This window comes from Homo sapiens, chromosome 21 (assembly GCF_000001405.40).
Source record: "Homo sapiens chromosome 21, GRCh38.p14 Primary Assembly".
Classification (NCBI taxonomy): domain Eukaryota; kingdom Metazoa; phylum Chordata; class Mammalia; order Primates; family Hominidae; genus Homo; species Homo sapiens.
Window position 1 is genome coordinate 39413302 of NC_000021.9, and position 26722 is coordinate 39440023.

Here is a 26722-nt window from a genome sequence, read left to right on the forward strand (position 1 = left end):
GGATGAGGAAAAAGTCTGCAAGTCTAAGAGACAACCTAGCATAAGACTGTTTTGAGTTAGAAGAGACTGAGACAAGCTTTTATCCATTTCTTCTTGTCCAACTGCCATCCTCATCCCTAATTTGTGGGACTGGGGCTCATAAGGAAGTATGGCTTAGTTACAGAAAATAAAGAACATGACATATTTTTGTACCTGAATTGTACAGTGTAAATTTTCTACTCATTTGAATCATAAAATTAGTTTATTATCAGAGGTACACAAAGGGATAAAACATGAGAATATTAATCTTTTCTAGAATTTAAGTTTCTGGAGGCAAAAATGTTAACAGTTCATCTCTCTTTTCTTATTGTGGTAACAGCCAAAAGAACAGTAAATGCTGACAGTTCATCACCATGAAAAGTTGATCAGGTGTATTCTGGATAATAGCTTTCAGATGAAGGATACTGTGTAAAACATTTTAGAATGAGTTTTCATCCACACTGGTTAGGAAACATTTTCATGTTTACAGGGACACATTTTGATTACCTGAAAAATTCAGTTCTATCTTTTGATTTGGTCTGGACACCTGGAGGTCAGCAACCGAGAGCAGGAAGGAGGCACAGCAACAACAGAACAACAACAAGAGGCTGCGACAGGGGCGGCGTGGGTCAAAAGGAAGCAACCTGGAGGACGGTCCTCCTTGCGGCTTGGAGCAGAGCTTCAGGTTGGGCACCACGACAGAGCTGGGCCAGAAGTCTAACACAGCCTGTTTGGAACACAACCCGGGATACTTGTGTGGTTGGGTTCAGTCAGTCAAGGGAAACAAGAAGCTAACCCGTGGCTGGGAGTGTTCATGCAATGCTCGTGGAATACTCAGCGCAAAGCCTGCCCGCAAGCACAAAGGGTATCAAGGAAGAGTTAAATGGGAAGTTGGGTCATGGTGTGGAATCATATTAAGGTCAGCATTGATGGCTTCCGGAACTTAGATAGAAAGCAGTGTCTTAATGCAGGAGTGTGACCGTAGCCTGGGTGTAAGACGGGTGGCAGTACCTCACGTGGGAGCTGTGGAAGGCTGACATCCCTCTTCTTACTTCGGCTCATACTGCAGAAGTGGGCCTAGAACTCGGTGTGGGATGACTTTGAAAATGAGTTTCAAAGTAAAGAAACGAACTTTTGACCTTTGGGACCAGACTCTTCCAAGCTCAAACTATGACTTTCGTTAATGTGGCAGACTGTATTTTCCTAGAATTCCCACGACAAGATTTCTAGTCCTATATGCTCTTCAACAACCTCGTGACTCGCTACCAAAAGGTGGAGTTCACTGCTTGAACTGCCTAGGACTGCCCTGACAAATGCTGTGAGGCAGAAGTGATGCTGCGTGACTGCCAAGGCTAGGTCATAAAAGGCAGTACTGCATCTGTCTGGTTCTCTCCCTCTCTCTCTCTCTCTCTCTCTCTCTCTCTGTGTGTGTGTGTGTGTGTGTGTGTGTGTGTGTGTGTCTGTGCATATTTTACTTTGTGATTGTCTATGTTTGGTTTCATTAATCTACAAAAAAGAAAAACCCCTTTTTATCTTCCAGAAATTCTTTGTTAGATCTGGTAGTTTTGGTATTCCTTTCTGGTATTCTGGATTATTTTATTTATTTTTAGAGACAAGAGTCTCTCTCTGTTGCCCAGGCTGGAGTGCAGTGGCGCCATCACTAAAGCCTCTAACTCCTGGGCTCGAGATCTTCTGCCTCAGCCTCTGGAGTAGCTGGGATTACAGGCTTGTGCCACCATGCCCAGATAATTTCTAAATTTTTTTGTAGAGACAGGCTTTGTTCTGTTGCCTTGGCTGGTCTTGACTTCTTGGGCTCAAAAGATCCTTCTGCCTCAACTTCCCAAAAAATGATGTAAGCCACCATGCCTGGCTTGGAGTGTTATTTTAAAAATAACATTTTCTGTCATTTCCATGGGGCTTTGGCAGGGAGGGACAAAAAGCATGTGTTGAGGCCACCTTCTTGATCTAGCCATTTCTACTCTTTTAAAAATGCATAAAATATGTAATTTCAAAAGCATTTTTCCCTTTGAAACTTTATTATACAAATTAAAATATATAAAAAAATAAAAGTAGAATAGTACAGTAAACCTCCATGAGCCCATGAACCAGCTTTACTAATGAACAACTCATGTGCTGTTTCCCACTCTCTCTGACCACTCCCCAGCCCTGGCTTATTTGAAGCAAATCTAGACCTCTAATAACTTATTTCAGTATCTGTAGCAAACAAGGGTATCCCTTTTAAAACCTAACTGCAGTATCTTCATTCCACTTCCCCCAATCAATAATTCCTTCACATAATCAAATATCCAGTTTGTTTAACATTTTCCCCATTTTCTATAGTTTTTAAAAGGTTTGTTTGAATTAGAATCTAAACAAGGTTCAAAACACTGCGACTGATTAATATATCTCTTACTGTCTTTTAATCTATAGATTCTCACTCTCACCTCTTATTTTTTCTGCTTTGCTATTTAATCGTAGAAATGGGGGTATCTGTAATGCAGTTTCCCACAGTCTCATGCTGCTGACTGCATCCCATCCTGAGCATGTTCCTCTCCCCTCTTCTTTTTTCAGTTGGTAGGTAGAGCCCAGTCTGTAACTAGGTTTAGGTTCGGTTCGTTGGCATGAGTAGGTGGTGGTGTGTACCTCTGTCAGGAAGCGCGTATCTCTTATGTGATACTAGGAGCCACTGATGATCATTGATTAGAGCCACTAATTCATTAGGAGTTTCCAAAATAGTGACAATTCTAATCCTGTCATTCCTTCTTCATTATTGAGTGGAATGCTTTTATAAGGAGGATCTTACCCCCTCACAAACGATTTGGTTACTCTGAGGAGTCGTTCATACAGGGAAGGTAAAAATGTTTGCTTCTTGTCCTCTACTGACCAGTCTTCAAGACAGCATGCTGTTCCCTAGTATCCTCCACAAGTGACTCATCGCTGAGGTGTTTAGTCTTTTAAGTATCATTATGAAGTGTGGATTCATTTGATAAGTTTTAACCTGGGCAGTTATCTTTATTGATCCTCAAATATCCCCATCTTTGGCCAGTAAGAACCTATTCTAGATGGGCCTGAGTCCTTTTGATACTACCCTAATGGTCCTTAATAGTTTCTTTGCTTTTGTATGACAATACGTTCCAGGTTCATCTAGTGTATTTCCTGCACCAGACCTAGAATTTTTTTAGGGAGCCTTGGTTTGTTTCAGTGGGATATGGAACTTACAGACCATAATCTGGGTGCTGGAGGTGTTCATTGCTCCTGGTTACTCTGAGAATATTGCATACTTTCACTTCAGATCAAAATCAGGACTATAGGATTTTTATTTGACTCTATCTTACTTCTGTATTTTTTTTTTGTCCATCCCCCAAATCCCAGTTCTCAATGACAACACCATAATCTATCAGGAGCTTTATCCCATAAGATACACACAACATTCTCAAAACAACAACATCAACATCATTACCAACTATATCATTACTAAACAGTGTAAGATTTTTTTGTAAAGTTATTTGTGTCCTTACAGTGTATCTCACTGGCCATATGCAATGACATTATGTGTTTTAAGTCACTTGGAATGGCTTCTTTCTGTGGCTTTGTGCCACCAATAGGATACAGTCAGCGTTCCCTGTCTGCAGGTTCTGCATCCCGCGGTTACAAAGGGCTAACTGTATACACATTTGGGTTCATCTGCATTTTACTTTGGATATTTAGGGATAGCTTTTTATTTTATTTTTGAGACAGAGTCTCGCTCTGTCACCCAGGCTGGAGTGCAATGGCACGATCTTAGCTCACTGTAATCTCCGCCTCCTGGGTTCAAGCATTTCTCCTGCCCCAGCCTCCTGAGTAGCTGGGATTACAGGCGCGCACCACCACACCTGGCTAATTTTTTTATTTTTGTATTTTTGTAGAGATGGGGTTTCACCATGTTGGCCAGGCTGGTCTTGAACTCCTGACCTCAGGTGATCCGCCCACCTTGGCCTCCCAAAGTGCTGGGATTACAGGCATGAGCCACTGTACCCAGCTGCTTTTTAGTTTTTTTTACGTTTAATTCTGCTTTGTACTTATGGAAATATTTTCATGGTTCCATAAAGATATTCATGAAATCTAGGTTCTAGAGCTGTCCCTTCTACTCTATTCTCTCTTTTTCTGCTGTTATCCTATTACTGGTTTATTTTTTAAATGTAGGCAAATAGATGGATATATTTCTATTGCTTCCTTTATCTTAAATAGGATTGTATTAGTCCTTTTTCAGGCTGCTGATAAAGACATAACTGAGTCTAGGTAATTTATAAGGGACAGAGGTTTAATGGACTCACAGTTCCACATGGCTGGGGAGGCCTCACAATCATGGTTGAAGACAAAGGAGGAGCAAAAGGACTTCTTACATGGCAGTGGACAACAGAGGACTTGTGCAGGGGAGCTTCTTTTTATTTATTTATTTAATTTTTTAATTTTTAATTTTTTTTTGAGATGGAGTCTCGCTCTGTCGCCCAGGCTGGAGTGCGGTGGCGTGATCTCCGCTCACTGCAAGCTCCGCCTCCCGAGTTCACACCATTCTCCTGCCTCAGCCTCCCAAGTAGCTGGGACTACAGGTGCCCGCCACCATGCCTGGTTAATTTTTTGTATTTTTTAGTAGAGATGGGGTTTCGCCGTGTTTGCCAGGATTGTCTCCATCTCCTGACCTCGTGATCCACCCACCTTGGCCTCCCAAAGTGCTGGGATTACAGGCGTGAGCCACCGCGCCCAGCGGGGGAGTTTCTTTTTATAAAACCATCAGATCTCATGAGACTTATTCACTATCACAAGAACAGCATGGGAAAGACCTGCCTCTATGATCTAATTACCTCCCACTGGGTCCCTCCCCTGACATGTGGGAACTGTGGGAGCTACAATTCAAGATGAGATTTGGGTGGGGACACAGCCAAACCATATCAAGGATATTACAGTTTCGTTTGCCTTCCTTTCTTCACTTACCAGTGTATCCTAGAGATTATTCCATAGTAGTACATCAAGATTCTTCATTGCTGTTTACAGATATATAGATATCCATTGTGTGGAGGTACATTTAATTTTCTTTTTAAAAATAAATTTGGATCTTACTGTATATAGAATTTTCTATCTTTTCATTAAGCATTTCATTAAGTATTAAGCATTTCTCTGTTAAAAATGGTTATTTTTATTTTATTTTTTTTAAATTTTTTTGAGATGGAGCCTCACTCTGTCACCCAGGGTGGAGTGCAGTGGCACAATCTTGGCTCACTGCAACCTCTGCTTCCCAGGTTCAAGCAATTCTCCTGCCTCAGCCTCCCAAGTAATGGGATTACAGGCACGCATCACCATGCCAAGCTAATTTTTGTATTTTTAGTAGAGACGGGGTTTTGCCATGTTGGTCAGGCTGGTCTCGAACTCCCAACCTCAGGTGATCTGCCCGCCTCGGCCTCCCAAAGTGCTGGGATTACAGGTGTGAGCCACCATGCCTGGCCAGAAATGGTTTTTTAATGGCTGCATGTTATTCATATTCATATGTCTGCATGAGGAAGCATAAAATTTATTTTAAAATTCCCCAATTGTGTCTCCATATGTGTGTGTGTTTGCTGTGACCAGGGGATCTTGAAGTCTCTTCTGTTAGATTTCTCAGCTAGCTGCAATAGCCATGCCTATGTTCTATGTATTCTTTTTGAAGTTTCCTGGAACTCCACAGAAAAAAGGAACTCTTTTTTCTTCTTTACAAAGGGAAAATTTTCTTTCTTTCATCCTCCAAATCCCAGTTCTCAATGATACCAACATAATTCATCAGATGAATTATCCAACTCGTCCAGCTCCGCCCCAACTCCTCACCCCCCACTATTCTTCTCCTGTCTCTGAGTCATCTCAAGGCTCCTGGAAAATCTAAATTGCCTAATTGTCACAAAAAAGTTAAAGATCAGGCTGGGTGTGGTGGCTCACACCTGTAATCCTAACACTTTGGAAGGCCAAGGCAGGAGGATTGCTTGAGCCCAGGAGTTTGAGACCAGCCTGGGCAACACAGCGAGACCCCGTCTCTACAAAAATTTTAAAAATTAGCTGGGTATGGTGGCATGTACCTGTGATCCCAGCTACTTGGGAGGCCGAGGTGGGAAGATCACTTTAGCCCAGGAGTTCGAGGCTGCAGTGAGCCAGGATGGTGCCACCGCATTCTAGTCTGGGCAACAGAGCAAGACCCTGTTCAAAAAAAAAAAAGAAAAAAGAAAAAAGAAAGAAAGGGAAATTATTGATATAGTGCTAAATTTCTTATGTTAATATCCTAGCCCCCATAGTGATACTTTTACGACGTGGGCCTTTTGGGAGGTGATTAGGTCACAAGGGCAGAATCCTTGTGAATGGGATTAGTGCCCTTGTAAAAGAGGCCTAAAGGAGCTCATTTTTGCCTTCCTTAAAAATAAAAAAGTTAAAGATCCTTGTCTTAAAGAATCAAGCTTAAGATTTATTAGTTGAGGCTTGAAACAGCGTATTTCTTAAGCATCTTATCTAAATTGTTGGACATTTTACCAATCTTGAAGGCAGAAAGATAGCAAAAAGCCTGACAAAATATTTTAAAAATTCTTATTTTTAAAGCAGTATACATATTTTTAAGACAGTTTTTCAAACACATTTTTAAGTAAAACTAAGATAAATTTATGAGTCATTAAAATTTATCTTAAATATTATGTTTTTAAACGTTAATTTTGAGTTACATTAAAATGTTAACAAACGCTGTATTACTTAACGTGATGAAATAGGAATGCTAACAAGAAGCCTTGTTAATGAATAGAGTTTCTATTTTTCTAATGACAGTACACATTCGCCAAGCTGTTAACTCATTCTAATAATTGCAGATCCTTTGTCTGTTCATATGATTGTAGAGAAAATATCTGAGAAAGATATTAATGAAGTTACATAATTTAGGCCAGGTGCGGTGGCTCACACCTGTAATCCCAGCACTATGGGAGACCAAGGCAGGTGGATCACTTGAGCCCAGGAGTTCAAGACCAGCCTGGCCAACACGGCAAAAGCCCGTCTCTACTAAAAATAACAAAAATTAGCCAAGCGTGGTGTTGCATGCCTGTACTCCTAGCTACTCAGGAGGTTGAGATAAGAGAATCACTTGAACCTGGGAGGCAGAGGCTGCAGTGAGCCGAGATCATGCCACTGCACTCCAGCCTGGGTGACAGAGCAAGATTCTATCTCAAAAAAAAAAAAAAAAAAAGATAAACAGAACTGTGGATGGGGGCCCAGGCCCCCTACAAAGGGTAGAGGAGCCTTATATATGTATGTAAAATAAAAAATCACTTAAAGATATAATAGACATAAATAGCTCATATATTTCGGGAAACAGGATTTCATTCTTACATTTTGTTTTAAAAGAAATACCTTAAGTTTTTGTTGAAGGTGTTTTACTTCCACCTGCAGAGTCTTGGTAGCTGTCTGAGCTGCTAAAGTCTTCCGAGTCTCAATAGCCAGCTGCCGGCTAAAGGCTCTGCAGTTCAACCTCAGTTGTTTTTCCAAGCTCTGAAAACAGTATATATTATAACTATTCTGCAACCAAGTTAGTATGTTAAAAACTTCAATTATCATGGAACTAACTACATTTATGAAAAGTGCACATTTTCAATACAATTTTAGTGAATGACTTATACAGGGGACATATATTGGAATGAAGTATAACCGAAAGAAAGACCCCAAATCCCAGATCCCAGCTCTAGAGAACAAATATCACACGTTTGGAGCCTGTTTTTTACATACTCTAAAATTTGATTTAACAATTCGTTTTTTTTTTTTTTTTTCTAAGTTGGAGTCTTGCTCTGTTGCCCAGGCTGGAATGCAGTGGTGCGATCTCGGCTCACTGCAGCCTCCACCTCCTGGGTTCAAACGATTCTCCTGCCTCAGCCCCTGGGTAGCTGGGTTTACAGGTGCACACCACCATGCCTGGATAATTTTTGTATTTTTAGTAAAGACAGGGTTTTGCTGTGTTGGCCAGGCTGGTCTCAAGCTCCTGGCCCACCTCGGCCTCCCAAAGTGCTGGTATTACGGGCGAGAGGCCACTGTGCCCTGCCCGATTTAAACATTCTGACCAGATCCTGAAAATCAGTAGACATCATGGATGGGCATTCCCAGACAACAGAAACTGAATGTTATAAAAGGGACTCAAACCACCACATCCATCCACACTGATGGACTGTAAGACAATGAAATGACTGATTTAATTCAATAACCATCCATAAATATATTCATCTGCTCTCTGGAATGAGAACTATTTTATTGGAGAACTGTTAGATCTGGACTTGACAGAAAGCTTACCAAAAGGACCACTTTTCTTTGTTTTAACATAAAGTAGGACCTCCTCCATTATAACAGCAGTACTTTCCCAAACAGGAAAAGTGGAAGACATGGAAAGCTACAAGGGGAAAGAATCACTAAAAATACCACTCCCTAAAACATTAATGTTAAAGAAATAACATGTTTTGGTCCACAAAACAGTTTTCCTCCACTAAATGCCTACAACCAAACAGAAATTTCTCATACTTGGTAAGTGCTTTTTGTATCAAAGAAAATAGTTATGGAATTTGTTTTGGTTTTATGTATAGATATAAAAACATGAACAACTTAGATACATACATGAAAACAGATTTGCTTTTACATGACAGACATACGCTAAGATGAATACAATATTACCTAAAAGGCCCAATAATATCACTTTGGTATACAAGAGTGAAAATTGAGGTTGCTCATTATTTTCTGTAGATCACATATTAATTTCATGTGAAAAAAATTTATTGGAAAATAGGGAATTTTAACAACAGAAGAAATAACTGAGATTAAAACGTGGAGGAAACGAACCTGATATTTACTTACTTCAAGATCATAGAAAATACTCGTGTTTCAGCATCAAATATTACAGAATTAAATCCTAAATTAATTCCATTTATGTTTATGTCTATACAGACTCAAACTAGCTAATGTAAGATATGCAGGAGAATTCTTAATATGATATCAATGCCTTCTCCCAAGTCATCCCTTATAATGTAATCCCCAGGCTTTTGACAACCAAGTGCTGTTGAGGAAAATCAATCCAGTCATCTCTTTAATTATTTTAATTCCTTTTCCTTCCCTACTACCCAGGAACATTATCTGGGAAAAGCTGCTATTTTGAAAATAACTACAAATGTCTGTGTGGTAATTCCTGGCCAAAATGGTGAGGGAGAATACAAAGGCCCTGAACGGATGCACTGAGTAGGTTTTTAGGGAAGTAGCCTTTTAATCAACAGTTTAAGGTAGAGGGTTGACTTCAAAGAGAGGTTTCACGTAACACAATGCAATCTTTTCAGCACAGGGAAAAAGTCCCTTAGCACTGTAGCTGTGCTCTCTTAGAGAATGGTCATTTCCAGATAAACCAGTCCAGCCACAGAGTGAACTCTTGTGCACTGCAACAGATGAACATTTCTAGTTTGAGCTGCTTCTGTTTTTCCTTCAAACCACTCCCTTTCTGTGCCCTCTATTAGACAACATAATTATTTAGTGCAGCACGCCAAGTGAAGCAGTTAGTAATGCTTTGTTACAGAGGGGGCGCATCCATGATTAATTCACACCCTCTCTCTATTAACTTTGGAATCTTAAACTGTCTGGGCCCCTGAAATACAGACCTGTATTTTTTTGTCATTTGCGTCCATTTTTGTTGTGATAATAGATAATTTATGAGTGAGTTCTTCCCTTTCTGCAAGGTTTTTGTCTTCAGAAAGTTTCTGCAGTGCCTGCAAGATATCTTTAGTCTTCAGTAACTGGCTGTCAGTTTCTCTAAGTTTCCTAGATAGAGTTCTTTCCTTTTCCTGGGATTTCCTAAGTAGTTGCCTTAAATTTTTTACTTCATTCTGATGTTTAGCCATAATTTGAGGTAGATTATTTTGTGAATTCTCATATTTTCCTATAGCTTTCAAATGCCTAAGCTGAAGTTGTTTCAAAAATTGGTTTTCTGTAAGGATGGCTTCCAATTTATGATGCATATCAGCTAATTCATTTTTTAGTCCTTTAATTTTATGAAGCCTTGCTGAGAGTATTCGATGAGCCATAGCATCTCTTCTTTGGGCAATCATATGGATTTGAGAATTAAAGAGTGATGCATTCCAGGTGTGCTTTTTTTCAACTGATATTTCCTTCTGGCCTGTGTAAGCAGAAAATCCAGTTTATTACTAGTAAAATATACAGATATGCAAATATGCACATATGCATAATCTCTCTCCCATGCCCCCATGCACACACACCACACACATACACACAAGCGTAAGTGTAACTAGAAGGGGACAAAACTATCATTTAATGAATACCCATGCTTTAGGCTAGGTACTTTATATATAACTACCTCATTTAATACAATTCTTTAAGATCAGTTGTAATATATTTTATAGCTGGAGATTTTACATCATTTGTCCAAGATTACATAGCCACGAAGTGACACAGAATGGATTGAAAACCAGGTCTTCTTTGACTCTAAAATCTGTACTTAGATTTCTATTATAACAGCTAGACTAAAAGCTGTGATAATAGGCCAGGTGCAGTGGCTCATGTCTGTAATCTCTACACTTTGGGAGGCTGCAGTGGGAGGACTGCTTGAGGACAAGAGTTTGAGACCAGCCTGATCAACAGAGTTAAGATCCCATCTCTAAAAAACAATTTTTTTAAATGTTTATTTTTATTTTTTTTTGAGATGGAGTCTCCCTCCATTGCCCAGGCTGGAGTGTAGTGGTGCAACCTTGGCTCACTGCAACCTCTGCATCCCGGGTTCAAGCGATTCTCCTGCCTCAGCCTCCCGAGTAGCTGGGATTACACGTGTCTGCCACTATGCCCTGCTAATTTTTGTATTTTTAGTAGAGACGGAGTTTCACCATGTTGGCCAGGCTGGTCTCAAACTCCTGACCCTCAAGTGATCCACCCTCCTTGGCCTCCCAAAGTGCTGGGATTACAGGTGGGAGCCATTGTGCCCGGCCTCTACAAAATTTTGAAAAGTAGCCTAACATGGTGGCACATGCCTATAGTCCTAGCTCCTCAGGAAGCCTTGGCGGGAGGATCCCTTGAGCCCAGGAGTTTGAGGCTGCAGTGAGCTATGATTGCACCACTGCATTCCAGCCTGGGTGACAAAGTGAGACCCTGTCTCAAAAACAAACAAACCAACCCCATGACAATAGCTGAAATTTACTAAGTGCTTATCATATGTCAGGCATTAAACTAAATGCTTTCTGTAGATTATCTGATGTAATCCTTTCAACAATATGTTATGGGTAATTAGAGTATAACATGAGAATCCAATGTAAAGAACTTATATATTCAAAATGACCCTCAAAAGGTCATCAAATTGCATAAGAGTCTATCTGTTTATACAGATACCGATTTTCCATCTCTCAATAAATCCAACACAGTTAATTTTTCCTGTTACTTTGGCTGGGCACCAAATGAAGTAATTGGCATGTGTCCAGGGGTCTATCTTAAACAAAAAGTCTCTAAAAATTATCAGTTAGCACCAAACTTACCTAATTGAATTTGAGTATGTTAAATACATTTGTAAATCACTGTACTATTATCCCATTTTAAAGATAAACACATGGAAGCTTGGGGATGTCCCTTGTCAATGAGCACACAGCTAGGAAGTGGTGAGACAGAGCCCATTGTCTATGTGCCTATGCTAGTGCCCCACAGGTGTGTGCATTTGTAGGATATAGAGGTATATGTATGTGTGCACCTGTGTATGTAAATGTATATGTGGTGTGCAAGTGTATGTATTCATATATCTAGATTCGGAGAAGGAGAAATTGAAACTGGATTCTAAACTCTAAAAATGTCTGATCCTCATTCTGGAGAGGGAAGGACACTTAGTGGCCAGTGTCACCCAAGTCCTAACCTTAAACTACTGGTCCAAGTGTGGACACATCTGAGATGTGGCTTAATATGTCTGCTCCAGGTGGTGGGAAAGGCAATTCTACCTGTGATAGAAACAATGAACCAAGAGAGCCAAAGCATGCTTTCTGGGGATAAAACATTTGAATCATAACTATGAAAGAACTCATAGATTATACAACACAGTATAACATCAATAACTGGTGGCCTGTCTTTGCAATTATACCTTCAAGTGTATTTATTTTCCCATGGTTTAGTAGGGGCTATGGCTGAATATTAAGTATTTTAGAATAGGCTTCTGAGCACAGTAAGTGGAAAGCAGAGCAGGCCAGCCTCTAGGACATCTACTAGAAGGCCTGCGAAGAGGTGTCTGTGGTTTTGTTGAGGCCGTACACTTTAATACTCTGGGCACTGGCTAGGGAAGCTCTAGACCCAGGCCGTATGGATCAGGCTGGTTTAAAACAGGGGTGGGCGAGGACTGACATGTTCTACACTATGGCCAGCATGACTGAACCTGACCCCCAACTTGTAATGTCTTCCAGCTCTTAGGTGCTCTGACCCTGGAGGAGAGGGATTTCACTGAGATGAGAAGGATGCGTGATGGGATCCATGGGCACTGGAGGCTTATATTTCCCTCTCATGCCATGCTCAAGTGATGGGAGGGCAGAGGCATGAGAGGGTGCTAAGGGACTAAACGCCATGGCCACAGGAGCTCTGGCCAAGGCCCCAGGAGTCAAGAAGTGCACAGAGGGCATGGATGCGTTGGAAAGGGGAGGTGCTGGCCTTTTAAAGATCATATGGCTTGGACAAGGAACATGTAAGTGGTAAAAATGAAGGGCAGAGGCTTCTCCCCCAGTATTCTTCTTTGTGTGAGGCCCTTTCCATGTCCCTGCCCCCTCATATTCCCTTATTCCCCAAACGTGTCTGAGATTGACTTTCCTGTCTACCCTAGTGAGTGGGTGGGGAGGACAAGCCAGGTTTGTTGGCTTCAGAAAGGTAAGTACACCACTTGCATTTGAGGGGTATGTAACAAATTCATACTGTATCCATCACGCATACTTGATGGAGGAATATATACTCCAAGAGTAATCAGCTTTAAAAAGCTAAATTATAAGGTACTTAGAATTCGAAATGCAATTTCTCTCTTGTAGAAAGTTTTATAAATGCCAACTGCCCTCTTGCATGATCCCACAAAAGCTTACCATCAATATAAAATGTAGTATATAGATTCAAGATCTCTTATTGTAAACCCTTGGAACCAGACTGTTTCAGAATTTGGGGGTGGGTTTTAAAGGTGAGTGCATATATGGTATTTTCCACAGTTCTCTCATTGGGGTCTGGAACAACACCCTTTAATGAAACTATATTTTTGCAGTGAAATTATAATCACTATTCACACTAAGTGAAATAACTAAAGATCTGCTTCATATTAGTTCAAATAAGGTTTTTGTTGCCAAATCAACTTTGATGCCAAGGATATGAAAGATGTTGGGTTTTTGGAGATTTGTAAATTTCAAATGTGGATAAGGAATTGTGTGTTTGTAGGATCTAACCATGATGTTCATTTTTGATGGAGTCCAGGCATGAGAGAAGTACTGGACTTTTCATTTCCTGCCCTGGGCCTTGCCAGTGGAGGTAGGACCCCCAGCTCTCTAGAAAAGTAACATTTAACCTTTTGAGACTCTGATGAAAGGTACAGGGCCGTCTAGAAAAGTTTACAAACACACATAGACACAAAAAAATGCATAGAATTTCATGGGGTTCACAGACATGTGTCTTAGATAAAGAATCCCTGTGCTATAGCAGGGGAACTGAAGATTCTGGGTGTTCCAGAAGTGGCACAGAGGGTCCTGGACACAGCTGGTAACAGCAGACTGGGGATGCAAGATGCAAGGTGGACATGGCGGTGGCAGATGCACTCCCCAAACAGCAGGCCCTTTATTGTCCTCCTGTTGACTGAAGTGCTCTGATGGTCAACATGGACAAGAGCCCCAGCTGTTTCTATATAAGGAATACTTATGAGCTCAAGATTGCCTCAAATGGGAGGAAGGAATTACAGTCTGGGCAGGGAAGGAGGAAGAAAGGAGATCAAAGATAACACAAGCTAATTCCAATTTGGACAGCTGGGAGTTGATAGAGCTGGTACTTTAAAAATCTACAAAGAGCCGGGCGCGGTGGCTCACGCCTGTAATCCCAGCACTTTGGGAGGCCGAGGCAGGCGGATCACGAGGTCAGGAGATCGAGACCATCCTGGCTAACACGGTGAAACCCTGTCTCTACTAAAAATACAAAAAATTAGCCGGGCGTGGTGGTGGGTGCCTGTAGTCCCAGCTACTCAGGAGGCTGAGGCAGGAGAATGGCGTGAACCCGGGAGGCAGAGCTTGCAGTGAGCCGAGATGGCGCCACTGCACTCCAGCCTGGGTAACCAGAGCAAGACTCTGTCTCAAAAAAAAAAAAAAAAAATCTACAAAGAAATGACATTATTAACAGCCTTTTGAACCATCTCTGTTTCAAAAGATGGTGTTTGCCAATATGTCTCACCAGACTTGGAGACCATCCTCTTGGGGTGCTGAGATAGGTATTTACATTTCACTGGCAATTCAAACACTGATTCTTCAGCTGAGATGAAAGGCAAGAAGCCAGTGAAATCCAAATATTGTGGTACTCTGTAACAAGGCCACCTGTTAACTAAAAACAGAACTAACCTCACTAGTAGGCTCCAGTAGGGTAAGCCATGCAGGGGGCTAGGCTTTACATGTGAAGCCTTTCTGTTATTTTATAATTACTCTTAATTTCTCTATTTCCTAATTTATTCTATAAAAGTTCACCTATAATACACATTTACAATATGGGAAAACAATAAAACTGAGTATGAACCACTTCAAACACTAGTGCAGTAAAATAACATCATTATGACAGAAATTTGGTCTTGCTTGGGAAATTTTACTCCTTACCTTTAGATTGGGAGATTTTAGAAACATTATACTTTTTCTTCTCCTTTTCTTTTACCACAGGCTGCTTTAAATAATTTCTATTAATAGCCTTTTCTGAACAATCACAGAGAAAGTCTTCTGAATAATCATACTGAGAACTTAAACTTCCACAGGAGCACTGAGATCTGCTATAATCAACACTCTTATTGGAAGCATTACTGTTCCGTGAAAAATCGCCTGTGCCTGGGCTTCTCTTGCATGCTGCAGACCTCCTATTGTTTTCTAATGCCACGCCGAAGAAATGCTCATCTATATTTGTTTTTGTTAGATCAGCCAAAGACATAGCAAACAACCTAATAAAAGAAAAGTAAAACCTAATAAAAGTATTTTTGAATTTATTGACATTAAAATGAACCTATGCTTTATTTTATATATATATATATATATATTTTTTTTTTTTTTTTTTTTTTTTTTTTTTTAAAGACAGGGTGTCACTCTGTTGCCTAGGTTGGAGTGCAGTGGTGTGGCCATGGCTTTCTGCAGCCTTGACCTCCTGGGCTCAAGCGATCCTCTCAGCTCAGCCTCTGGAGTAGCTGGGACTACGAGTGTGTGCCGTCACACCTGGCTAACTTATTATTTTTTGGTAGAAATGGGAGTCTCACTATGTTGCCCAGGCTGGTCTTGAACTCCTGGGCTCAAGTGATCCTCCCACCTTGGTCTCACAAAGTGGTGGGATTACAGGCGTGAGCCACCATGCTCAGCCATGGACATAAACTTTGAATACTTTCAATAAGCCCTCTTAGTTGTCTAAAGTGATAATTTAAAATGGAAGGAATAGAAAGTGAAATACAAGAAAGACCCCAAATTTATACCCTTAATAAAATTAACATTAGTTACAAAGCAGATGGTTCTGCATTTCTTTATTATGCTACTGCACTAAGGACAATACCACCACAAGTATCTCTTTTATAGCAGCTTACCTCAAAAGCAGATTGAAACAAACAGATCCATCTTCTGAGGTCTTTAAAAGGATTTACCTTTTCATTTAATTCTCAATTCTCCTGTTTTATCAAGAAAGCAAAAGAGAATTTAACTGGCATTAGATCCTTTGCAATAGGAATCTAATATCACTTTCTCTACTGAGAGGGTTTTTTTTGAAGTCAGTTTCTGCTTTTTGCTGCATCTGCTTAATTCTCCAGCCTTCTCTTCTGATGAAATATATTAGGCAGTCCACAATCTCCTCACTACAAGAAATCAAATGATCTTAGTAATAATTAATATTAGCATTACACTTAATATCTAACTAGTGCTCTTACTTTGTACAAACTTATTTCACATCACCTCATCTCAGCCACCTAGAGGGAATAGGTTCAGACAGGTTTAAAGTTCAGAGACTGTCCCTGTTTCTTAGCTCCAGGGGCAGTGCTTTTTTCATTAAGCACCATGACTGCAACACCACATTGGTGGGAGCATTACACAATCCTAAGGCAAAGAATTTCTCTTTCCAGACACATTCTGCTGTGTAGCGGTGGGCAGAAGCAGATCCTTATTTGTGAACCTTTGCATCTAGATTAAGAAGAATCCAGGCTGGGCATTGTGGCTCACATCTGAAATACCAGCACTTTGGGAGGCTGAGGTGGGTGGATAGCTTGAGCTCAGAAGTTTAGGACCAGCCTGGGCAACATGGCGAAACCGTCTCTACAAAACAAATACAAAAATTAGTGGGGTGTGGTGGTGCACACTTGTAGTCCCAGCGACTTGGGAGGCTGAAGTGGGATTGCTTGAGTCCAGGAGGCAGAGGTTGCAGTGAGCTGTGATCGCGGCACTGCATTCCAGCCTGGGTGACAGGGCCAACTCTGTCTCAAAAACAAACAAACAAACAAACAAACAAACAAAAACAAAAAGAAGAATCCCAGATGTTGGTGTAAGGGACCCTGAAAGACTACAAATGCTCCCGTGTAGCCCTCATAGCCTTGCCTGTCCTTGTCCCCAGGAGCTGTTCCTCCCTGCCCTCTTGCTCATGACCTCAGTCCCTAATTTCCTCCTCACCTATCTTGGTAAATCCAAATGGCTCAAACAATGGTTGCTAATCCGCAAGAAGAATTTGTTTTTTTGGCCAGTTGTTTCTGACTCAAGCTAGAGTTCGGCTGACTTCTGCTAAAGCCCCTCCTTCTTCCTCACTTTAGAACACTCCTTCAACAAGTCTTCTTATGCAGGCAATTTTGGATAAAGGCTTAATTCAAGAGTGTTTTTCATGTTACATTCACAAATTGTCCAGCTACAGTAGTGGGAGGGAGTGGGATGGAGTAGAAGGTGATGGACAATTTGAAGGCAGACCGGCTTGGGTTTGAACTTGGGTCTGCCTGTCACTTAAGTGCTCTTGTCCATCTGTAAAATGTGAGTGACACCACCAATCCCATAGGGTTGAGAAAGAAAAGAAGCTTATCTGAGGAATGCAACCCCCTTTAAATGACCAGGCCCAAAGAGGCACTGGAATGAGACAGCAGTCACGTCCCCCCATCCCCCCAGCTGAGCTAAGTAATCATTTCTAAGCTGCTTGCTCCGTGGGCTCTGACTGACACCACCAATAGCTATAAATTAACCTAACAATGCCATATGCTGGACACCACAGCTCATACCCTGTGGTTCAAACAACAATCTAATCGCCAGTCACTGTTATTTCTGTAGACCAATGAGAATTCCTGAAAAACGACGTTTGCAATTGTCCCTCTCCTGACTTTGTCCTTTTTTCTTTAAAAAATGCAAGCCTCTCACAGAAGACTAAAGTGAACTTCAATTGTCCCATGTTTGATAAAGTAGAAGCCTAGCCATCTTAGTCTCTTAGTTTAATAAAAATTGATGTAACAGCCAAAAAAGAAAAAAAATTCCAATGGAAATCCTGTAGAGCCACATAAGAATAAACAAGACTATAAATAACTTCACTCTTAAAACAATTCTACCAGATTAAAATGTCCCCTAATGAGGCTTTCTAGACTTAGCTGTGAGAAAGGTGGTGGATTGGAAGGTGTTACCGCCCTCTCCACGTGGATGTGCAAGTCATAAGCCTCTGTGGATGCTGAGTTGTCCCATTACCTACTGGCTCCAGTGGATGTCTGTATTTTGCAGGATCCTTATAGCTAGAAGTAATTGTAGCTTCTTAAAAATGCTTGAAAAATCAAAAATCTGTCAATGTTTCAGTGAGAAGATCCCTTACTAGCAAAATTATCCACAATCTTTCCTGCTCAATAATTTGCCTAGCCTAACGTTAGGGATCTAGTTTCCTCAGGATGGGCAAAGGGTGGTCTTACCATAAAGACAATTTTTTTTTTGTTGGTGGAATGGATGAGTAGAAAATGACTGCTACCAATTTTATTTATTTTATTTTTGAGATGGAGTCTTGCTCTGTCGCCAGGCTGGAGTGCAGTGGCATGATCTCGGCTCACTGCAACCTCTGCCTCCCGGGTTCAAGCGATTCTCCTGCCTCAGCCTCCCAAGTAGCTGGGACTACAGGTACGTGCCACCAAGCCCAGCTAATTTTTGTATTTTTAGTAGAGATGGGGTTTCACCATGTTGGCCAGGATGGTCTCGATCTCTTGACCTTGTGATCTGCCCGCCTCGGGCTCCCAAAGTGCTGGGATTACAGGTGTAAGCCAGCGCGCCTGGCCTGCCATAAATTTTCTAGTGGATGTACTGTCAACTTGCTTTTGTCAAATTTCTAAAACACATAGTATAAGGCAGTGATCAATTCTACTATTGATCACTACTATAACCTAATCTGTCTCATGTAAAAAAAGCTACAAGCAACTTCAGATTAATTGCTGTGTTCACCGATTTGTCTTAAATAGGCAAAAATATCTGAAAATCAAAAATCATAATTTCAATCCATATCCTAAGACACTGAATTTTTGGGAGCTTACTAAATTTAAAAGTTGTCATGAATGCTTTATAGAGTATATTTAGATGCTATATTCTTTTGAAATAATATATTTACAACTTGGTAAGATCAGTGTATAAACTGACTGGCCCAGTGTTTATCACAGCTTATTAATGTCAGTGTCACTAAAATCAGCTTTTAGGTAAAATCGGCTTTTAGGTAAACTCAGTATGCTTCTTTTTGCTACAACAAATAGACAATTGTTTTTAATATTAATGGCATAGTCTTTGACAAAAAGAGGTCATAAGAAAAACTGGGACCAGATGATAATAACACTTAAATGAATTTTGTACCTGATTCGCTAACATTTTAAAATGAAGATTTTAAAAAATGTATCAAATAGGTCAATTTATTTGGCTTACTGAGCGTACATATTTAACACAACTGATTCCTAAGCCTTTGGGATACAATTCTTTATTTTTAACCCTCTTTTATTGAGGTATCAAAGAAAATTAGTAAGAGTACCATTTGATAAGATTAGAAATGTGTATCCCCATGAAACTATCACCACAATCAAGACAGTGAACACAACCACATAATCTCCCAAAGCCTCCCAGCACCCCATTGTAATTCCTCTCATCCTTCCCTGCGCCTCACTCCCAACCCAGGCAAACCCTGTTTTTTTGTCACTATCAATTATTTTGCATTTTATAGAGTTTTATATAAATGGAATAATCCAGTATGTATTTTTATTTGGTTGGCTTCTTTCACTCAGCATTATTATTATGAGATTCATCCATGTTACTATGTGCATCAATATCAGTAGTTCATTTGTTTTGTTTTTAAGTTGCTGAGTAGTTTCCAATTGTATGTATAAACCATAATTTGTTTATTCATCTGTTCACAGACATTTCAGCTATTTCCAGTTTTGGGCTATTACAAATAAAATTGCTGTGAATATTCTGGATATAAATCCTTTATCAGATATATGCTTTGCAAACATTTTCTCCTCATCTGTGATTTTTCATTCTCTTAAAAATGTCTTTTAAAGAGCAGACTGTTAATTTTGGTGAAGCCCAATTATCAATTTGTTCTTTGAAGAATGATCCTGGCCGGGCACGGTGGCTCATGCCTGTAATCCCAGCACTTTGGGAGGCCAAGACAGGCGGATTGCCTGAGGTCAGGAGTTCGTGACCAGCCTGGCCAACAAATTTAAACCCCATCTCTACCAAAAAATAAGAAAATTAGCTGGGCGTGGTGGCGGGCGCCTATAATCCCAGCTACTTGGGAGGCTGAGGCAGGAGAATTGCTTGAACCCAGGAGGTGGAGGTTGCAGTGAGCTGAGATTGCGCCATTGTACTCCAACCTGGGTGACAAGAAACTCTGTCTCAAAAAAAAAAAAAAAAAAAAAAAGATCCTTTTGGTGCTGTATCTAAGAAATTTTTGCATGACCTGAGGTCACAAAGATATCCTCCTTTCTTTCTTCTAGAAGTTTTACTTTAAATCTGTAATCCATTTTGAGTTACTTATTATGGATTAAAATTCATTTTTTGGTATATGGGCATCTAATTGCTTCAGCACCGTTTGTTGCAAAGACTATCCTTTTCCCACTCAATTGCCTTTGCATCTTTGTAAAAACCCAGATATTCATATGTTGATCTATTTCTGTGCTCTCTATACTGTTCTACTGATCTGTTTCTCTATATTCATACCAATACCACACTATTTTGGTTACTGTAGCTTTTTTTTTTTTTTTTTGAGAGAGGGTCTTCTTCTATTGCCCAGGCTGGAGTGCAGTGGCACGATCTTGGCTCACTGCAACCTCCACCTCCTGGGTTCAAGTGATCCTCCCTCCTCAGCCTCCCAAGTAGCTGGACTACAGGTCCATGCCACCACATCCAGCTTTTTTTTTTTTTTTTTTTTTTGTAGAGACAGAGTTTTGCCAATTCTCCTGCCTTGGCAGGGTAGGTAAATTTCCAAAAGAGTTACTTGTACATAAATTATACTCATCAAAGAGACAGGATATTCCTAGCATTCTGGAATTCCCAGGACTCCAGAACCATCCTAAAATTTCTACCTATATGACCTCAATACAGGTATGTTTGGGTTCACCTGGCACTGTGTGAGTTCTATTCTTTTCCATGAAATGGCGACTGAGAGACATTATCAGCAATGTAAACAAAAGTAAAACCCAGTTTGATTCTTGGCTATTACTATAGTTGGCAATGAATGTGTCCTGAATGCAGGTATCAAGTAGGATCATATATTCAGTCTGCTAAATACCAGTTTTCTCACTGACCTGTTAAAAATTGACTGATGACTAGTATCAGGCCTATAACTGTACTTTTAAGTTGATTAAACTATTTCAGAAATCTTCATATTAATATACATACACTACACTTCTCTATTGTTATCAATAAAAAGTGTAGTTTCCACATACAAATTTCTGATTATGTGGTGCATTTTTGAAAAATCCAGGCCTTAAACCAACCACCTACTGTTCTTTCTTTTGAGACGGGGTCTTACTCTGTTGCCTAGACTGGAGTGCAGTGGTGTGATCACAGCTCACTGCAGGCTTGACCTCCTAGGCTCAAGCAGTTCTCCCACCTCAGCCTTTCATTTAGCTGGGATTACAGGCACATACCACCATGCCTGGCTAATATTTTTAGTTTTTGAAGAGATAGGGTCTCACTATGTTGCCCAGGCTGGTCTTGAACTCCTAGGCTCAAGCAATCCTCCCATCTCAGCCTCTCAAAGTGCTAGGATTACAGGCATGACCCACCATGTCCGGCCACTGATGTTCTTAATTAATTAATATGTTCAGTCAAAGAACATTTATTTAGTGTCTTCCAGGGTCTGGGGTTATGAAGAAGGTAAGGCAAAAGGATCTTAAAATAGGCAAAGTTAGTAATTATAAAATTAATATCTACTATAGTTACACTAGTTTTTGTATCAAATTTACAGTATAGTTCAGATTTAGTTTGGCAGCATTTATATTTTGAACAGTTTACAGTATAGTGGTGCCTATTTTACTGCACATGAAGCATAATTTTATTATGTCTCTATCATTATGGAGTTTATAGTTGTTTCTTTGCTGTTATGACTCGGGAACACAATGAGTAATTATAAACACTATTCTAATGGAAAAAATCTGATCTGGTTGAGGTTACGTTTTCCCGGAATGCACTATGGTGAAAGGGATGGCTACTTAAAAGAACAGTAAACTTCTATATTATGCTTATCTAATTAGTGAATTAGAAATAAGAATGTTCAAGATCAAGGTATATGTCTGAATCATTCTGAATACAACGGTCAGGTGTCTTTTCTCCTGCTTTTGCAACAAGGCAGATGGAAAATAAAACACACTAAAATGTTTGAAAGTGATTACTGCATACCTGGTGTTCTTTATTAAACTTCCCTAAGATGTCTGATGATAAACTGAAGATAAGCACAGGGTTCTTCACACTGTAGTATTTATGAGCTTTCCACGGTAGTATTTTTTTGACAGGTTTTGGTCTCTTTTTAAAGAAAGAATATATTTTAAAAAACCTAAAATGGTATTACAAAAGGAAAATGTTACAATCTCACAAAGAAACATATTTATGTAATAAGAATAAGGTTTTGAAGCAGTTTTAATTAATATATATATATTCCCTTGTATTATGGATTGGTGTGGTCTTGGCTCACTGCAACCTCTGCCTCCCAGGTTCAAGCAATTCTCCTGCCTCAGCCTCCTGAGTAGCTGGGATTACAGGCGCCCGCCACCATGCCCGGCTAATTTTTTTGTATTTTTAGTACAGACGGGGTTTTACCATGTTGGCCAGGCTGGTCTCAAACTCCTGACCTCAAGTGATCTACTCACCTTGGCCTCCCAAAGTGCTGGGATTACAGGTGTGAGCTACTGCACCTGGCCACAGGCGGCTTTTTCTCTATGAAAGTGAATCACCTGTTGGCAGTTGATTGGGAAATTCTTGGATGTGATTATCAAACAGTGATGTTGAAGTAAGATTTGAAGGAGCCATACACAGCAGTGCCTTTTCAAGTTTTTGGCAGAAAAGATCTTGTGGCTCACCTGCCTGCTCTTTCTTTCCAGTACAGAGTTGAACATAAATAATTAAAGTTTTTGGATTATGTGTTTCTTGCCTGTCAACAATAAAAATAACAAAAAGACGACCCTCTTGGTAGCTAATTGTAAGCACTGGATTGTATTTTAGAAGCAGAGACAGTGACTGATTTAGTATTATATACTAAAATGTATTCTGGTTCCATACTTTCATGAATTATCAGATTCTTGGTTAATAATACAACTAGAAAATCCTAATTCTTAAAAGTAAATATTTTGTTACACGCATATAATGAAAAAAATTCAGTAGTAAATTTATAATTAATTCATAAGGATAATTTAATTCAAATGATTACATCTGTGTTTCTGGCTGAAATTATTCTATGGGTAGGTAATTACATACATATTTTTTGAGATGGAGTCTCACTGTGTCATCCAGGCTGGAGTGCAGTGGTGTTAGCTCAGCTCACTGCAGTCTCGACCTCCTGGGCTCACGCGATCCTCCTGCCTCAGCTTTTCAAGTAGCTGGGACTACAGGCATGTGTCACCATGCCCAACTAATTTTTTTATTTTTGCAGAGACGGGATTTTACTATGTTGCCCAGGCTGGTCTAGAACTCCTAGACTCAAGTGATCCACCTGCCTTGGCCTCCCAAAGTGCTGGGATTACAGGCATGATCCGGGCCACAGCACCCGGCCAGTAATTATATTCTTAACCAGTCCTGCCTCTTGGGAAAAAAAACTTACTCAGCATGCAAATTTTCCCTCTTTTCTTATCCATTCTCAACATTTCCTATTGCCTTCCCCATTTCATTTTTTCTCTTTAACACATACTATCTAACCTAACACCCATTTTACTTCCTCAGCCTGTTTGTAGCCTGGCTTCCCCACTAACTGCATGCTTCACAAGGCATGCATTCTGGCTCCTTTGTCTATTGCTATATCCTCAGTGCCTAGAGGAGTTCCTGAGAATATTAAGTGTCCAATAAATATTGATCAAATAAATTAATGTTCCGGATGCCTCTGTGCTTAATTCCTCTCTTCATATCCATTACTCCTGAAAAAACTTCTCATTACTGCTAACCCAATCTGAAAAGCTCCAAATGAAAGCTTTCCCAATGTGATAAATACCTATCTCAAACAAAAAAACAGCTTTAAGCTTAATGGTGAAACATTAATTTACACTGATGTAAGAATTAAGATAAGAAATGCCTACTATCACTGTTGTTCATTAATATTGTTCTGGAGGTACTAGGTCTAAATATTGGAAAAGAAGAGGCAAGTTATTATGTGGAAATGAAATGAAATGATTATATACTTATAAAACACTATCAAGAGAATTAAATTGACACCATAGGTTACAAAATGGCTATAAAATTAATCTTTTTTTTGAGACAGGGTCTCACTCCACTGCCCAGACTGGAGTGCAGTAGCGTGATCACAGCTCACTGCAGCCTCAACCTCCTGGGTTCAGGTGATCCTCCCACCTCAGTCTCCCGGGTAGCTGGGACTACAGGCACGTGCCACCATGCCTGGCCAAGTTTTTGTAGAGATGGGATTTCACCATGTTGCCCAGGCTAGTCTCAAACTCCTTGGCTCAAGAAATCTGCCCACTTTGGCCTCCCAAAGTGCTGGAATTATAGGTGTGCCTGGCCCTAAAAATAATCTTTCCTCTATGCAAAATAAAACGACTTAGAAAATAGATGAAACATACCCCACTTACTATATCCAAATATTTAAAACATCTAAGTTTACTACGAATAATATGAAGGAAACTTTAAAACTACTGAAATAAAATATTTAAGTGAAGGACACATTTTGTTCTTATATCAAAAGGACACAGATTATAAAGCTGTAAATTCTCCCTAATTTAATCTACATGATCAATGTATTCTCAATGAAATACTGAGTAATTTTGTGAAATTTGACCAAACGATACAAAATTCACATAGAGAAATAAATATGAAAGAATACAAAGAAATATGAACAAAAATGATGAGAAGGGACTACTTTGATCAGATACTGAGATAGAAAACTACAGTCACTAAAATAGCCTGATACTAATGCTTTGACAGAACAATATTCTGGAATAAAGAGTTCAGAAACAGAAACACAAACAAATACATATGGTAACCTAGTCTAAGATAAAGGTAGAGAAAGTGGACTTCAGTAAATGATGAGAGGTAGGCTAGAATCTACCTGGAAATCAAAACAAAAGCAGATTCTTATTGCATTTCTTACACTAAAATGACGGTTAGATGGGTTCAAAATGTAAATGTTTAAAAAATTATTAAAAGAAAACACAGAGTGTGGAAAAACATAAAGCCTAGAACCATAAAGGAAACAACTGATAAAAATAACTGCATAAAAATATAAAACTTCCTTATAATTAAAAAAATAATAAAGTTCAAAGGCATCTTACAAACTGGAAAAAAGATTTTCAATACATATGACAAAGACCTAATTTCCTTAATTTGCAGAGACCTCTTAAAATAATCCATTAGTAAAATGGGCAAAAGATATGAATGCATTACAGCATAAACACATTACAGAAACACAGAAAACCAAGAGTTATATAAAAAGATGTTCGAACTTACTCATAATGAAATGCAAATTAGATTCCGCTTTTCATCTACCAGAATGGCAAAAATTAAAGAATCAGATAAAACATATTATTGTTATTATAACTGTGATGAATACTGATAATGCATATTATAAAAAATAAAGCATATCTGTGTATGTGTAGATATGTAAAGTTCTCTAAGATACGTTCATTTTCCAATCAATGTCTACATGTAAAATAGAGTTAAATTCTCATTTTTAAGATTTAAGACTTTCATTTGGTACAGTGGTAGGCTGAATAATGGTCCCCTAAGGATGTCCATGTCCTAATCCCTAGAACCTGTGTTACTATATATAGCAAAAGGGACTTTGCAGATGTGATCAGTTTCAGGTCTTGAGGTGGGAAGATTATCTTGAGTTATCCCAGATTATCCATGTGGACCTAATGTAATCACATGGGCCTGTCTAAGAAGGACACAGGAGGGGTCAGAGTGAGAAGGCTCTGTGATCACAGAAGCAGAGTCAGAGGGAGAAGACACGACGCTGCTGGCTTTCAAGATGGAAGAAGGGGTCACATGCCACAGAATACAGGCTTTTCTAGAAGTTAGAAAAGGGAAGGGAATGATCCTCCCTTGGATCCTCTAGAAGGAATCAGTCCTGCTGACATCCTAACTTTAGCCCCTTAAGACTCATTTCAGACTTCTGACCTCCAGAGCTGTAAGAAAATAAATTTGTTTGAAGCCACTGAGTTTGTGGTAATTTGTTATAGCAGCAATACAGAACTAATACAGGTACCTTGAAAAACATCACAAATTAAAATGAGACTAAAAGCAGGCTATTAAATGCAAATGAATTGCACTGTTATAAATTTCAAGAAGTCAGAGAAGATGGTGAGTTCAAACGTTTTGGGGAAATATCTTAATTGTTCCAGAAACCAGCTTGCTTTACCTTGCCTTGGACTATATCTAGGAACAAGATGACCAACCTGAGATAGCTGGTGGGATTGTTTGCTTTGGAAAAATGAGCTGGAGAAAACAGCCGACCCTCTCATAAGCACTCCATGAAGACTTTTTTTTAAAGCAGGTGGCTTTCCTGCAGAGGCAGTGGCAGAAGCATGGCTGAAGGCTGAGAAAGCAGAGTGAAGTAGTTGTAAGGGGGAGGAGTGACAAAGAGGCGTCAGGTAGCTGGCAAAGTTAGGAAATTAATTAGAGCTAACAAATTAACTGAGGACATAAGTAAATATATTTAGAATCATGGGGTCAAATTTCTTACTGTCTGAAAGAGGGAAGGCTGGAAAGAACCCTGAAATGTTGGATTAGAATGAGAAATGCTAGGTTCAAATACACACACATACACACACAAGGAGTTATATACA

The 26722-nt window shown here is 39.7% G+C and overlaps 3 protein-coding genes across 61 annotated transcripts in view, besides 1 other annotated feature; 2 read left to right on the forward strand and 1 right to left on the reverse strand.

Annotated features, from left to right (window-relative positions):
* The window catches only part of GET1 (guided entry of tail-anchored proteins factor 1), a 48203-nt gene extending 32976 nt beyond the window's left edge, over positions 1 to 15227 (forward strand). Inside the window, exons 10-12 of the transcript NR_146615.2 lie at positions 572 to 703; positions 12459 to 12733; positions 14931 to 15227. The gene's annotated coding sequence lies outside the window, so the exon portion shown is untranslated. The remainder of the gene's footprint in view (positions 1 to 571; positions 704 to 12458; positions 12734 to 14930) is intronic.
* Positions 1 to 26722, forward strand: part of GET1-SH3BGR (GET1-SH3BGR readthrough) — a 135179-nt gene that overhangs the window by 32976 nt on the left and 75481 nt on the right. The window contains exon 8 of one of the 3 annotated variants that reach the window (NR_146618.2): positions 12459 to 12733. The exons of the other annotated variants lie outside the window; for them this stretch is intronic. The gene's annotated coding sequence lies outside the window, so the exon portion shown is untranslated. The remainder of the gene's footprint in view (positions 1 to 12458; positions 12734 to 26722) is intronic. 3 annotated transcript variants of the gene reach the window in all.
* The window catches only part of LCA5L (lebercilin LCA5 like), a 40051-nt gene that overhangs the window by 7574 nt on the left and 5755 nt on the right, over positions 1 to 26722 (reverse strand). For 6 of the 57 annotated variants that reach the window (XM_047440686.1, XM_047440684.1, XM_047440687.1 and 3 more), the window contains 6 exons: positions 22119 to 22272; positions 15830 to 16093; positions 14871 to 15202; positions 14458 to 14604; positions 9675 to 10189; positions 7405 to 7542 (listed from right to left, as the gene is read on the reverse strand). In XM_047440686.1, coding sequence (XP_047296642.1) covers positions 7405 to 7542; positions 9675 to 10189; positions 14458 to 14604; positions 14871 to 15192 — 1122 coding nt within the window. In that variant the 5' untranslated portion in view covers positions 15193 to 15202; positions 15830 to 16093; positions 22119 to 22272. Of the gene's footprint in view, positions 1 to 222; positions 746 to 7404; positions 7543 to 8256; positions 10190 to 14457; positions 14605 to 14870; positions 15224 to 15829; positions 16094 to 22118; positions 22273 to 22795; positions 22867 to 25382; positions 25418 to 26332; positions 26473 to 26722 lie in introns of those variants that run through there. The other 51 variants (NM_001384286.1, NM_152505.4, NM_001384291.1 and 48 more) reach the window with 30 other exon arrangements.
* Positions 17182 to 17476: an enhancer, noted in NCBI's record as "tiled region #12540; HepG2 Activating non-DNase unmatched - State 24:Quies, and K562 Activating DNase matched - State 5:Enh". NCBI's record gives its function as "activates a minimal TATA promoter and a strong SV40 promoter by Sharpr-MPRA in HepG2 and K562 cells {active_cell/tissue: HepG2 | K562}" and the evidence as "EXISTENCE:reporter gene assay evidence [ECO:0000049][PMID:27701403]".